General features: G+C 41.6%; 1 protein-coding gene across 1 annotated transcript in view, besides 1 other annotated feature; it reads right to left on the bottom strand.

The window, feature by feature from the left end:
* Positions 1-15614, bottom strand: part of TSPAN7 (tetraspanin 7) — a 127377-nt gene that overhangs the window by 22927 nt on the left and 88836 nt on the right. The gene's annotated exons all lie outside the window — the stretch shown is intronic.
* Positions 8197-8246: a silencer, noted in NCBI's record as "silent region_20736". NCBI's record gives its function as "represses an Ori minimal core promoter by ATAC-STARR-seq in GM12878 lymphoblastoid cells {active_cell/tissue: GM12878}" and the evidence as "EXISTENCE:reporter gene assay evidence [ECO:0000049][PMID:35858748]".

The raw sequence follows: 15614 nt of genomic DNA, 5'->3' as shown, positions 1-15614 counted from the left end.
AACGAGAAATGTCAGAGAGTGTTAACTAAAATCATCATAAAGACACTTCATTTATTTTCCCCAATAAACGTGCCCCTTACACAATCCCATATGCAATTATTGTGTTAATTAGAAGTCAAGCCAACAATAAAGAACTTCTTTTTTAAAAAGCAGTTTACAAAGCACATCATACGACAGGTCTGAGAGCCTTCCCCCAGCTGCTGCCTGACACCAAGCTGGGTATAACCCCATGAAGAATGACAGCTGCCCTCTTTGATGGCATGTGTGTACACAGTATATTTTATGGACATCCTGCACAATGTTTTCAGGAACACAGTGATTCCCTTTGACTATTATTGCAGAAATTTCCACAAAAACAAAATATTCCAAATATTTTTGAATCCCTATTGATGTGTTGTCTTAATATTTTATTCAATATAAAACAACAGAAGAATCTGCATAGTTCCTGGAATTAGCTGTAATGCGATTTGCCAAATCCCACTGATCAGTCCAAAGGAAATCCCTATAGCATGTCTAAACTAGAACCCTGCATCAATCAGGCCTTTACTTTATGGGATAGATTCCAGGGTGCATACTATGCCTAACACCCCACCCCCTGCAGGCCACACGCCCTGGCAGCTTTAGCTGCTAAAGCCACTGGGGTTGCTTTATGTCTCTAACCATCTCCCAAGCTGGTCTTTCAGGTCACCAATAGCTTAGCAACTCAAACTGACAGCCTTGTAACTGCTACCACTTCTGATACCGCATGAAGCTTGAAAGAAACCTGGGTGTCCAAGAAAGACCATCTCCAGTTTGGCCCCACCCTAGAGCCTAATGTCTCATACCAAATGCCTTGGATCCCTGTCTAGTTTGCTCACTCAAGTGAGGAGTCAAGGTGAGAAAACTGGAGAGAATTGGCATGATACAAATCCATACCCACCTTGCCAAGGTTTCCCTTGTCAATCAATACACAGTTCCTAATATCTGTGACCACCACCAAATATATGCTATACCATGAACCAAATGGCTGGGCCAGTGAAGATGCTTAGACCTCTCTCCTTTATACTCTGAAAATACTTTCTGTAATTTGGAACCATCAAGCTCCATTATCAGATTTTTGTGTGTGTGTGCAGGACGAAGAATGGTCCCTGTACTTTTCACTGCATAAGGTAAGTGTGAGCTTTACCTGTATGGGGGGAGAGGTCAGTAAAAACAACTAGAGTTTGGTGACACTTCCCCACCCTGGCAGCCTGTCTACTTTGTAGAACCTTCACCATGAAAGACAGAATTAAAGGTTTTAAATCAGAAAAAGATTGAGGAACTAGTGCTAGTTTTATTAGGCAAAGATAAACAATCGTGATGCAGTGTTGCGGTGAAAGTGTTTGACACTAATATTTGGGAGAAAGTGGCCCCGTGGAGGTTGACTGCCTTTCAAAAATTCCAATGGAGATGGCCTAGCAAATTAAATCCAAGAAAACCAAGAACACAGATGTTGCCAAGAGTTCTAAGTCCTCTGCTGACACCCGGTGGTTGTTTAAAAAAGTACTTTCCTTGAGCAGCCTCTTCTGCCATACTCCCCAACACGGAAACATAAAATGCCTTTTACCTGCTAAAATCAAATTTTAAGAATCAACTGTCAAGTCATTAGGGGTAAAAATGCAATGGACACTATGTAGAAAAGGACAGTGCCTGTGCCATCTTTTACTAATGCCTAGCACAGTGCCAGGCACAGAGTAAATGCTTACTATTCCATTGAGAAAAAAAATATATTTTTTTCATTTCTCTGGGTCTTAGAACCTGTATTTTATAAAACAGAGCTTATCAGATACCACATACGTACACAACTTCTACATCTGGTAAATACTGCGAGGTGATTTAAAATGGGACCAAAGAGAAATTTCCCCCATACTTTCCACTGTAGCATTATCAGCCTAAGCTGTAAACATCACAATGTAAATGTATTGAACAAAAGCAAAAATTCAGTTAAGCTAGTCGGTGTTTAGGCTGAATATATGCCTCATTCGGAAACTTGTGACTTCATGGTATTGCTCCCAAAGATACACGAACACTTCAAATACAAACTGAGCAGCTGCATTCCGTGAACTGCTATTGCTGGTCCTTATTGGAATGTGATTGCTTTAATGAAAATGTATACTGCTAATCAAGTATGAGAGTCTGATAACTTACATTTCTGTGACCAGTGATTTCATGAAGTTCAGTTACTACCAGAACAAATCTTACATGCAGTATGTCAAAGTTAACACAAATCCTGATTTTAAGGCAAACAGTACCAAGATCATTTTAATGCCTTTTCTTTCATAACATAATTTATCCTAATGCAATCATTGCTTTGTATATGAACCCTCTCCTCATGTAAGTGCAAAACCTATACCAGTTTGTTAAAATGGTCATAAAATGTAAATTACACAAATACTCCATTTTCAGAAAAAGACTTTTTAATTTCAATAGGTTTTTGGGGAACAAGTGGTGTTTGGTTAGATGAATAAATTCTTTAGCGGTGATTTCTGAGATTTTGGTGCACTCATCACCTGAGCAGTGTACACTGTACCCAATGTGTAGTCTTTTATCACTCATCCTGCTCCCATCCTTTCTCCCCAGTCCCCAAAGTGCATTGTATCATTCCTATGCTTTTTGCATTCTCACAGATTAGCTCCCACTTATGAGTGAGAACATACGATGTTTGGTTTTCCATTTCTGAGTTACTTCACTTAGAATAATGGTCTCCAATTCCATCCAGGTTGCTGCAAATGCCATTACTTCATTCCTTTTTATGGCTTAGTAGCATTCCATGGTGTGTGTGTGTGTGTGTCTGTGTGTGTGTGTGTGTGTGTGTGTGTGTATACACCACATTTTCTTTATCCACTCATTGATTGATGGGCATTTGGACTGGTTCTATATTTTTGCAATTGCGAATCGTGCTGCTATAAACGTGTTTCTTTTTTGTATAATGACTTCTCAGAGAAAGACTCCTTATAAAGACCTTGGTGGTCTTTATAAGTTTGCCAGTGGGTGCAAACAAACACAATACTATGAACACCATATTGCATGGGAGAGAAAACATCCAACATTCTAACCTTGACCAAGTCAAGGTTAAGCCTTAGAGGGACTCATGTTCCTCTCAATAACGTGGAAACTGGGTTAGACACGCCCCTTCCAGCACTCATGTGCTAGGAATCTAAGAATAACCAGAAGAGGAAGGCCTTCTCCAATATTGCTATTGTCATACTCAAACACTCCTGATGAACCAGCTCTGTTCAGAAGCTTGAACTCCACTCTATATGGTTCCAGGAAAACAGCTATTCTCTGGGCAGTTCCCAACCTTTGTTCATGATGATCCTCTTACCTAGAATTCTATCCATCCTATCTTCTTACCTATCCATCCTATCACTCTATATCCTAAATTCTTATGGTACACACTGTACTCACTCCTCTCAGCCTCCTCAAAGTCACTCTGCAGTATACCATGGTCCTTCTGTACCCTACCCATCCTCCTGTGCATATCCAGGAGCACAACCTCTTGAGGGTGGGAGCTGTGTACCTTGCACACAGTCAATGTTCTGTACCTGTCCATTTAACAAATGAATAAGCAACCAATTGTAGAGTTAAGAAAGGAGAAGAAGTTTCATGTTAGCCATCTATTTGCTATACCCTCTGAACCTCTGTGAAGAACTATCAGAAATGATAAGAATGCCACTCTGGACCAGAAAGGGCCAGTAATCTGGGGAAATAACAAGGCTAAAGACAAAGAAGAAAAGATTAAACAGACAAGGGAGAAAATGGTTAGGCTGCGGCATACCCTTAGGTGACTAAGACCATATGTGGTGGTAGTAGTGGTTGGTGGTGGACGTGCGGCGGGTGTTCAAAGAAATTGCCAGGTAGTTGAAGGAAAAAACTCACCTACAAGCAAAGGGCTAAAGATCCATAAAACACTCTAACTGGCATTTTATCACATTCTTCTTGCTATAAAAATGTTTCTCACTAAGGATAAAAACCATACAAAGATAAGCCCAAGACAAAAGCCACTATCATATGTATAAATTTTTTCTTGGCTCTCATCAACACACATTCACTCCACACATGTACTTTTGCAAGCACCCACAGGAAAGTCATGTCTCAAACATGACTTTCGAACTGAAAAGCAAGGGACTTTTTTTTTTAAAACATCTCTCTCCTGCTGTGAGGTGCAATGAGTAAGTTCGGAGTTCACCAAAGCAATTGTGTGTCTGAGCTCCTCAGAGACCTCAAATCCCTAAATCAATCATCAGCATATGTTACCTTTCTCATGGAGGTTTTGCTTCTTTCTCAGAAGAATTGACCAGCAAGCAGCCAACGCTGTGGTTCGGGGAGGAGAGAGATAGGAGACCGTGGATAAACTACATGACTGGCCTGGTGAAGGACCAGCACCACCTTATATGCTCCCAAATCAACCACAAGCCAGGATGGCAGGCCCAGCCTTCCATCAGAAGTAACCAGGCTGAGGCTCTCCCTTTCTTGCTTATTCCTGGCATCTCATTTTCTGTGTGCTTACAACACAGCTCAAATTTTATGGGTAGCAAAGTACCACTAGCTACTATTAATTTAGGCTTGGTGATGAGACAGAGTAAAGCTATAATCATGGCATCAGAAAAGTTAGATCAGAACTGAAAAGGCTTCTGTGTGATGATACATATTACTTTAAAATTATACTCAAAGAAAACTTACAGATAGGTTTGGCAATATGCCAAGGGGTATCCAAAATGCTCTGAAACAGACTTACTAAGGTTTATTTTCATCCTAAAATGGCCATTAGGGGAACGAGTAGCCAACATAAACAATTCCCCTTGCTCTTGCCAGGTCAACCTGGCTAATACTGATAAGTCTCTCTGTGGATCTTGTAGCATCCTGATCTTCAGAGAGGTGCCAGAAATAGAGGCTTCCATCCTTCTCACCTGTCCAGAGGCATTTTACTTGAGCCCACGCTGTTTTGTGCGTGCAGACCACAGACCTTATGATGAAACTGCTGCAGCTGCTGTGCCAGGTCTGAGAGGGCAAAGTCCTTATTTCCTCTCACTAAATCCTTAATACAAGGTTCATAAGCCCCACCTTCTATGTGAATATATGCACATTATTCTAATGATGGCACAAGTTCATATTTACTATATCATTCAATTAAAGAAAAAAAAGACAACAGAAATTGAATCACAGAGGTACAAGCTATCAAAAAGAGACTGCTTACTAAATAGCCATATGGAATAGAAAGCACTGTATCTAAAAACCAACAAAAAGAAACACACAGGCGAGATCGTAGGCAGAAGTCTTAGCTAGATTGCATTTTAGTTGACCCACAATTCAATCATCCCAGAGGTTTACAGGTTAATTCCTTCATAGCAACTACACACAAAGGTATTGTGAAATATCCCCCAGAGGATTCTGTAACTCAGAAGAAAATGCGTGACACTGAAACTCCACACACATCATCAATAATTAAAATCCACGTTCCTCAGATGTTAGGTTTTAAGAGGAAAAGTACCTGACAAACTATTCTCTTAGCTGATTCTTATGTGAGTGTGTGTGCCAAGGGGACAAAGAGGAGGAGAAGTCTTTGCACAATGTTGGGACCTGATTAGGTAGAGGTGGAGAAAGTGACCAGAAAAGCAAAGAAACCAGCAGCTTGTATAATGTTATGGTCTTATTTTAAGAAGTAACAGTGTGCATCCATTATATTTATAACTTAAAATTTTATTACAAATTGTATGTATACTTAGTGTTTTTAAAATAGACTAAGAACCAGAATTTATTGGGATTCCTCACTGGGCTTGAGAACCCATTCCAGATGAGTGGCAGAAAGGGACTCAATATATTTAAAAGAACATTAGCTGGGGCCAGACGTGGTGACTCATGCCTGTAATCCTAGCACTTTGGAAGGCAGAGGCAGAGGTGGGCGGATCACTTGAGGCCAGGAGTTCGAGACCAGCCTGGCCAACATGGTGAAACCCCATCTCTACTAAAAATACAAAAATTAGCCGGCTGTGGTGGTGCGTGCCTGTAATCCCAGCTACTTGGGAGGCTGAGGCGGGAGAATCACTTGAACCCACAGGGCAGAGGTTGCAGTGAGCCAAGATCATGCCACTGTACTCCAGCCTGGGTGACAGAGCTTTACTCTGTCTCAAAAAAAAAAAAAAAAAAAAAGAAAAAGAAAAAGAAAAAAAGAATGTTAGCTGAATGTGGTGGCTCACGCCTGTAATCCCAGCTGCTCAGGAGACTGAGACAGGAGGATCACTTGAGCCCAGGAGTTCGAGGCCAGACTTGGCAGCATAGCAAGACCTCCATCTCAAAAAAAAAAAAAAATTAGAATTAAAAATGTTAGAGCTCTTGGCTGGGGTTTAGAAGACCAGGGCTTCAGTTGTAGTTTTGTCATTAATGAGCTGTGTGACTTTGGGCAGATCACCTGATATTTCTGGGCCTCAGCTCACTCTTCAATAAAATCAGGAAGTAGAGAAACCTGATTGCCAGTGCTTCCCTCCCAGCTCTAACATTCTGATACAACAAATCAGAATCTCAAACTTGACACACTCAGTCACGCTGAAATATATTTATAGCTGTGCCTTTAAGCAAACAAAAGAGAGTTTCTAAGATTCTCCCTGTATCTGATAAACCACCAGCAGCAGGGGTAGGAAAGTTGGCTCATTTCTGGACCTGAAGCCCACTGTTCTGTCAGCTTTCCCAGGTGGCGAGAGGCTCCTGGGTAAGAAAGGGTAGGAAGAATGCCCAGCAGGACATGCGTTTGTAGTTTTACACAGACACGCAAAAATTTATAAGCTCACTAGCATAACAAAAGCTTTACTTTTTATAAGAAGATCCCACTGTTATCAAGACATGTGCTTTGAACTCTCTCTAGGCAAGTATTTTGACCAATTCAACCTTTTTACTCCATTTTTGTCTCGTGTACATGTATACATGTGTACGTCTGTGGGTGTGTGTGTGTGTGTGTGTGTGTGTGTGTGTGTGTGTATGGAAGATAATACATGTTATATGGCTGACAGGTTGGTGGTATCATTAAAAGGAGACAGGGAAGTTAAGAAGCGGGAGAGGAGTGAGATAATCTTAAGTGCTGACTTGTTAAAATTGAATCTGAGAACCAATAAGAAATCCAGAGACCGTCTGGTCCAGGCTCTGTTTTCTATTGGGTTTGGGGTGACCAAAGGTCACAGAGGCAACATGTTCAGAAGGCAGTTGTGAATGTGGGGCTTGAATTTAGGAGTAAGTCAGAGCTGCAGGTGAGGGCTGAGGCCAGAAGTGACAGCTAAGCGGGAACAACGAATCTTGGGAAACAGAAGCAGAAGATGGTGGGAAGTTCAAGGACTAAGGCTTGAGGAAGACTGTCACTAGAACATGAGAGGACAATGCTGGAAGACAGGGGACAGCAAAGAGACGCAAAACAGAGTGGACAAGTCTATAAAGGTGGCTGCCAATATGAGAAGTAGGACATGGAAGAAAGAGACATTTTCTCCTTTAAAGATTTATTGGAAACAAGGCCAAGCACAGTGGCTTGTGCCTATAATCCCAGCACTTTGGGAGGCCAAGGCGGGAGGATCACTTGAGGCCAGGAGTTCAAGACCAGCCTGGGCAACATAGTGAGACCCCATCTCTAAAAAAAAAAAAAAATTAGCCAGGTGTGTCAGCACATGCCTGTAGTCCCAGCTACTTGGGAGGCTGAGGTGGGAGGATCACCTGAGCCCAGGAGGTCGAGGCTGCAGTGAGCTAAGATTGTACCACCACACTCCAGCCTGGGTGACAGAGCAAGATCTTATTTTTTTAAAAAAAGACTTATGGGAAACAAAACACCAGCACAATTCATTGATCCTGCATACACTAATGACCAGACAGGGTACTCTTTATTTTTGTACCCAGTACAGCCCACTGAGATTACATTTTGTATTTTAATATTATTACATCCTAGATCCAATTCATAGACTTCAAGTTTCAGGAGCTAGGTCATGAAGCTAGAGTGATTTGTCACAAACTCTAGCTTCTATTTGGATTTTATCAGGGATCAGATAGCCAGAGTCTAAAATGCAGATTGTCTAACAAGGTATAACAAATCACAGATGCTTTTGAAAATATGAAAATGGCTTTGAATAGCACTATGAAAAGTCAGAAATTCTAGCTTTGACTGTGGGTCTATTACAGTCTCTTCATATGTGTAGTGAAACAACTAATCATTTCATAGGAAATGGCTCCAGGCATGCTGTAAGTCCAGCAAACAATACTTCCTTCTCTAAGTTGCAACCACTAGCTTACACCAGTCATGTTGCATATCTGTGTCTTAGTTCATCATCTACAAAGTGGCAGGACTAGCCCCAGGGCCCTTCCAGTGCTAGAGTTACTTGTTTCTTTGAATTGCCCAGTGGTCCTCAGAGGGGCAAATATCAAATTCAACTGTTAGCTCAGATGCCAAAGACTGGTCAACAGCATTCACCAAGGGGCTGCACCTGCTGGGCTCTGTACTCATCCTGGGGAGTTTAGCTGGAGGGTGGCTCAAGGAGGTGGCTGGCTAGAGACTGAATACTCTCTAATGTCCTGTGGGCCCATGAAGTGGTAAAAATGGACCCATATGGTGACAGTATTTTCAGAATTAAAAACAGAATCTGAACACGGTAAAGATCTTTGAAATTGGCCTGTCACAGAAAATCAGGGCTATACAGCTGCTAAAATAATAATAAATGCCACCTTGTTAAGAGAGCCTTTTACTACTTGAATAACTAAACTCCTTCAAATGAGGCCCACACAGCTCTACCTTATACTTAATTCCATTATTCAACAAATAGAGTCACAGAAAATTCCTGAACATGTTATTAGGTACTCTGTATATCACACTGGGAAAAGAGAAAAAAATGGTCAGCCCTATTGAATTGGTTTCTCATTTCTTTTATATTACCCTAAAAGCTTACAGACTTAGGTTTCTTCTCCCTTAAAAACTAAATTCCCCAAAAAGGCCCAGAAGCAAAAAGAAAAGAAAGAATTTAACTGCACACATATCCGTACATTGAGAAATGTTCTATTACATCAGAGAAGAATGTTAAGGGTAGCTTATTCTGAGCCTCTTGGCATTATTTTTTCTTTATAAGCATTGTTGAGTTCTCCTAGCAAATGTTTAAAACAGGACTTAGGTTTTTGATCTATACTAATAGTGAAGGTCTTATTTCAACTTTGAGAGTCCAAGAGCATGTGAAAGGAAGAAGCAAGCAAACCAGAGGTTAAGACTATATGAATATAGCTCATACCTCTGGTTTCATGATGACCCAGATATATAAATAGACATCATATAGGTAAATGCCTATTAGGAATTGGGGCCAGCAAAGCCACTTACCAGGAGATTTATGTACTTAGAAATCTGCACCAGCTGTAGTGGCTAAAGTGACAGAAGCTTAATGTTTGGGGGATTCCCTGTATGCCCCACCTCCTTTATCTTTTGGCACAGTTGAATACACACTAAGGCCGTGTGAGTGCCAGGAGCACTAACAGTCTTAGCGCCATTAGCAGATAGCCAACCACCAGTGAAAGAAGAGTTACGGCAAGAAACCCCTTCCCTTGCTTCCATTCCTCAGGTAACCAGCACTGTGAAAAGACGGATCAAATTCTACACTAATAAGATACTTTTTAAAAAGATCATGTCAGAATAAGCTTATAAACAAGAGCCACATATTAATGTGTGTTGACAGAATGTTTGTACTGACTACACATTTGTTCTGCCCTGTATTAATTGTATTAATACATCAAGATTTTAAGAGTCATGTGGGGAAGGAATAAATCCTTTCCTCCTTTATATCCACCAAAGCCTCAGCCATACCTCGTACCTGATTTTCCAAGACAACATGCTGTTCAAATATTCTGTCCTAATATCCATCAAACAGAATCAGCTCAATAAATACAGAATGAATCTTAGTGACGAGCTCTTCTTCAAATTCAGCTCCCTTTTATTGGCTGTGTCCTCGTGAATTTTGGATGGGAATGAATCTGGAAAAACGAATCGTAACAATTTTTCCATAAATGCCAATCTGACAGTGGCACACTTCTTTCTCATAATTATGTTGAACCTATTTGGCTTTCCTGGAGTTCCATTATTTTCAAAAGGGAGAATCTTCTTTGCATAATTTATATATAGGATTATCATCTTCAAAATACTGAAACCAAAACCATAGTCCTAATAAATACTTTATACACAGGAAGAAGCTAGAACTCAGATGGCAAAAAAGTCACTGAATTCCCACGCTTTATGTGGCTATGCATTGATGGGGTGTGATGAGGTGGGTTGGTCTGAAGAACTCATGCCTCCTTTCAGGTGAAACTGGAGCCAATAAGACATAATGTTAGAAGAGGACCTACTATTAAATGTGGAAAAACCTGGAAAAGAAAGCATGTATGCAGTGTTCAAGAGCAAGATTCTCATATAAATAGTAAGGTAGGATTCTCCTTTCAATGATCCTAACTTTCTCCTGAGGTGATTTAAGGAAAAAAAAAACTTAAAAACTGGTATTAGTGACTTAATTAGCTTTCCTTTCAACACTCATATGTCCACACTGCATATATATATATGGTACTGCTACTAAATGCAATGTACAGGGAAAATTCAGATGTCTAATATTGACAGAGTACTATGAAAAAAATAACTTTAAGGTAATAGTAATATGTTTTTGGCCCCCCTAAAAATCAGACATTTTGGAAAAGCACAAAGAGGACACTTCACCACTTCTACCACTACCACCCTAGGCCAAGCCTCCATCTCCCCTTGCATCCACCCTTGCCCCCATTCTCTATTCAACACAGCAGTTGAGATGATCCTGCTGAAACCTAAGTCCAATAATACGTGACTTTGCTCAAAATCCTCCCACAACATTTCATCTCTCAGAGAGAAAGTCAATGTTCTTATCCTGGCCTGCAAGGTCCTACTTGACCTGCAGCCCCCACTGGTTCACTCTGCTGCAGCCTCACAGGCCTCTGTGTTCACCCTCAAAACTCTTGGCATGCTCTTGCCTCAGAGATTTCACACTTGCTCTTCCTTCTGCCTGGAATTCCAAGATCTCTCATTTCAGGTCTCTGCTCCTCCATGAGCCCTTCCCTGATGACCGTATTTGAAACCAGAATTCCACTCCCCCACGGGGCTCCTGCTTTATCTTTCGCCACTGCACCTATCACCTTTGTATACTATTTACCTTACTCACTTTGTCTGTCTACCAAAATGAATGTTAAGTTCTGTGAGGGCAGGATTTTTGTCCTATTCATCCTATTCATGGGTGTATCCCCAGGGCCAATACAAATGCCGGCTCACAGGAGGGGCTTAGTTAAATATTTGCTAACTGACCAAATACAAGACAGCAGGCAGGTAAGTAAGTATGAGCTTTGGAGGCATAAAGTCTATTCTCACTAGCACTGCATCAAGGAGGCTAAATGGTGGGCCTGACTACTGTAAGGCCCTGGCAGTTGCACTCAGATAAAAACCTGTGCTTTAGCCAATTGCTTCTAATCCAGCACATTGCTTCATAAATGTCTGCTTTTGGCCACAAGGGGGACTAAATGAGAAAGCATGGGAATAGTTCCTTCTAATCCATCACCACTAATAGAAAAGTAATTTGAAGCTCTAATATCCTATAACTCTATGAGGTCTGTAGCTGATGGTTAGGAGCCAAGATAATGAACAGCATTTAAGTAAGATTTCCCTGTCTCTTAAAAAATGTACAACTGAGGTGCTTACTATCTGTGTGCCCTGTACTATGCTAAGTGCTTTAATGCTTTATCTGGCTCAATCTTCTTAATAACCCTATGAAACGTGCCCAAGGTCATCGCCACTAAATGGCAGAACAGTTACTCAAAGCCCTGACCCTCCACTACTGCTTTCCTTTAATGTCCTCTTTAGCCTGTCTGTAGAAGGTTCTTTCTCCTCAACCCTTTACTCCTAACTCTTCCATAAGAGGAGTTCATAAGCCAGCATCGTCCATCCTGGCACTGATTTTTCCTTGAATCAACCCTGAGAATTTGGCTGCCATAATTAAAAATAAATAAGATCTATAGGCATGGCCAATAATTCATTTATTTTAAAAGGCTATCCATTAGCATTAGGAGATATACCTAATGTAAATGACGAGTTAATGGGTGCAGCACACCAACATGGCACATGTATACATATGTAACAAACCTGCACGTTGTGCACATGTACCCTAGAACTTAAAGTATAATAAAAAAAATAATAAAAGGCTATGCATTATTCCCCTCCTTCAAGCAGGTAAATCTATAGAAATGAAAGCATGTTCCACTCCAAGCTATAGTTTGATACTTTAAAAGCCAGTATGGGAAATAAATATCTTCATGTGTATGTCGACGTGAACCAGAAATGTTCAATATCATTAGCACCAGGAACAAACCTATGGGAGGACTGATCTGAAGAATCAATAAAGCTTGACAAACACATGGAAAACTGTAGTGTCTTGAGTATTGGTTTTCCACCAAGCACATTCTAGAACGAAAGCTTAAGAAACTTAAGTACTCTGGTTTTGGCCCTGAGAAGAGAAACAAGAGGCCACAGGTGCAACATATATGAGAAGAACCCACTCTGAAACTGTGGAATTGCCTTTCAAAGTAGCTCTAACCAAAAGTGATGGGCTGAGTCACGAGATAAGGCAACCGCATCGTATCTGCTCACCCCACAGCCTGGGAGGGGGATTTGATTGGCTGTTCATGAACGAAGGGCACAGTCTGGAAACAGAGTTAACCATGTATGTGTGTGATAAACGACATTTATTGAGCAGTACCGTGCTCCTTATACGCTTCATCACATTTATTCTTAATCTCTGTTTTGCAGATGAAAACCTGAGGCTTTCGGTTGTTGACTTTCAGCAACGTGCTCAAAGTCACAAAGCAAATAAGTGGTATAGCCCGGAGTCCAATCAATTTCTGTCCAACTCGAAGGCAGTTTTCTTGGCCATTATTATATTCTGCCTCTTGCGGCAGTGTAAGTAACAGCAGTCAAGGCCAAGGGCTGAGTTCCTCTGTCCAATATTACCCAGTCACTGACCCTCTCGTCTAGGTAGGTGAACGCTAAAGAGAAGCCTGGTTTTCTTTATACTGCCTAAGGGCTTCCTACGAGTGAGCTGTGAGGAAACCAGTACCCTGAACCAATTTCCACAGCGAGGTTTCTTGGGCAGTTTCTAATTGTCAATAGCCAGGAAACATGGGTAAACGCAGAGTGGGAAGAAACGGACTCTACAGACTGACCCTGGGGGCACTGGCCTTTTCCCTTCTCCTTTCCTGGGACGGGCCTCCCGTGCCCCTTATTGGGCATACTCCATTTTATGAACTGGGCTGTGTTCTGGATTATTTATACATTACTTGTTTGAAACTCAAAATGTATTTTCTTTGAGAAACCATGTTATACCTGGTGGCTTGTTTCTAGGCCAGTCCTCAAAAATCTATATTTAAGCCAGTATTAGGGAAAGTTATAGGGAAACAGATTTTTGGCTCATTACAAGGAAGAACTTTCTAATAATAGGCACTGCCCAAAATGGAGTGGGTTGCCTTGGGAGGTGTTACAACAGAAGGTAAACAGCTTTCTGGGCAGCCCCATAGAGACTCTGGATGCAACCATGGGACAGAAGTCCTATGACTGGGAACCCAGCAGGAAGGCCTAAGTTACACTGTTTCTCAAAACCTGTTCTCATTCTGACTATTGTCCCAGAAGACTTGTGCTAGCTAATTGGCTAGCCTTTGCTAGCCAATTATCTCCCTGGATTTTCATACATGGATGAATAGGAGCATTAACAGCACAGGAATTGGGGAAACCATTTTCCCAGATCTGGAGTTTCATTTCCTTTGATCTTCAAAGGAAGCGATAGGTCATACAATTTTGACACATTAAGAGCAAGAGAAAAGCCTGTTCAGTGTAATGGGGCTGCAATGAAAATGAGCTGTGTTCTTTAAAAGAGGATATGGCACTGGAAGGAGTATTTGCCTTATTATTTTAATTCTTCTATTTTCCATAAGCAAATACACTCTACATCACTTAGAGTCAGAAATCCTGGATGACTTTAAGAATCAGTGAAGCTGGTTAAAGATAAATTTACAAAAACTATAGTTGCAACCTTCATACTTTTCACATATAGACAAGGATTCTGTCAAAAACCTGACATATATTGGAACTAAAAAGAGGAAGTATCTAATAAGGTGCTATTAGTAATGGTATATTGCACCAGAGATCTATTCCTATAGAAAATTACATAGCTCGTTACATGGCTATGGGGGCAAATACAACTACACTTTGGACCCTGAGGCAACACAACCATCAAGCTTGCTCCTGCAGGATACATGCAGGGCTCTACCTGCTCAGCCCTCCTGCCCCATCGCTGCTCAGCCAGGTCCTACCTGCCTTTCAAAGCACAACGAAGATGTCCTTTCACCAAGAGGCCTTTCCTGACACTCAAAGACAATAATCATTTCATCCTCTTCTAAATGTGCTTAAGATTTTCCACATACCTCTTATGACTGACTTCTTTTTGGGGGGATGGAGTCTCGCTCTGTCGCCCAGGCTGGAGTGCAGTGGTGTGATCTCAGCTCACTGCAAGCTTCGGCTCCCGGGTTCATGCCATTCTCCTGCCTCAGCCTCCCGAGTAGCTGGGATTATAGGCGCCCGCCACCACGCCCGGCTAATTTTTTGTATTTTTAGTAGAGACGGAGTTTCACCATGTTGGCCAGGCCGGTCTCGATCTCCTGACCTCATGATCCACCCGCCTCGGCCTCCCAAAGTGCTGGGATTACAGGCGTGAGCCACCGCATCCGGCCATTACTGACATTTTTACCTTGTATTCTAAGACTTTGGGTACACCTTATCTGCATCCCCAGTCATCTGCTCCCTGAAAAAGAGATGAGTCCCTCATGGGATTGTTATTAACTATATATATATATATATATATATGTAATCACATTTCTGATAATGAAATATGACTAGAAAGAGTGCTTTGTTTGCAAATAGCTCTCATCAAGGACACATTAACAGGGCATTTTTCTTTGGTTTCTGAGGTTGCTAAGAGGGCATGAGATGGGAGAGGTTGGGCAGGGATCCTTACATGTAAAAACGGCTAGAGAGATGCAATAGTCAAGTCTGGAAACAGCATCAGAAGCTGTTGCATTCCTTCCATGTTGTGCTTAGAAATAAATATGACTGTTGTGGTCTTAGACAAATGAGAAGTCCAGAAAAGTATAACCTGGTAATCAGGTCCCTCAACTCAAAGACCAGTGATATAAGCCTCTTCCTTCCCCAAGAGTCACCAAAACAACTTATTTTAGAAAGCTAAGGCTTCTCAGCAAGAAGCAGAAATCCTTCCCCTTTGACAGTGTCAGCTGAAAGTGACTGGCCCAGTGACCACTCTTTAAAGCTGCATTGAAGGGCCAGAATGGTTGAGTCCTACCTGTGCTCCACACAAGTTATGGCCAAGGACATGCTTTCCTGGGCACAGGAAAGCCCCTGGCTCTTACCACATGTCTTCACTCACAGCCAAGGGCTGTCTGAAGCCCTGGCACACACTGTGAGTGACTGTGACCAAGGACTGCACTGGCTTGCTGGCAGGATGGACCAGCAGGCACCATGG

Source organism: Homo sapiens, chromosome X (genome assembly GCF_000001405.40).
Source record: "Homo sapiens chromosome X, GRCh38.p14 Primary Assembly".
Classification (NCBI taxonomy): Eukaryota; Metazoa; Chordata; class Mammalia; order Primates; family Hominidae; genus Homo; species Homo sapiens.
Note: the sequence above shows the minus strand (reverse complement) of the source record. Positions and strands in the feature narration are given on the sequence as shown.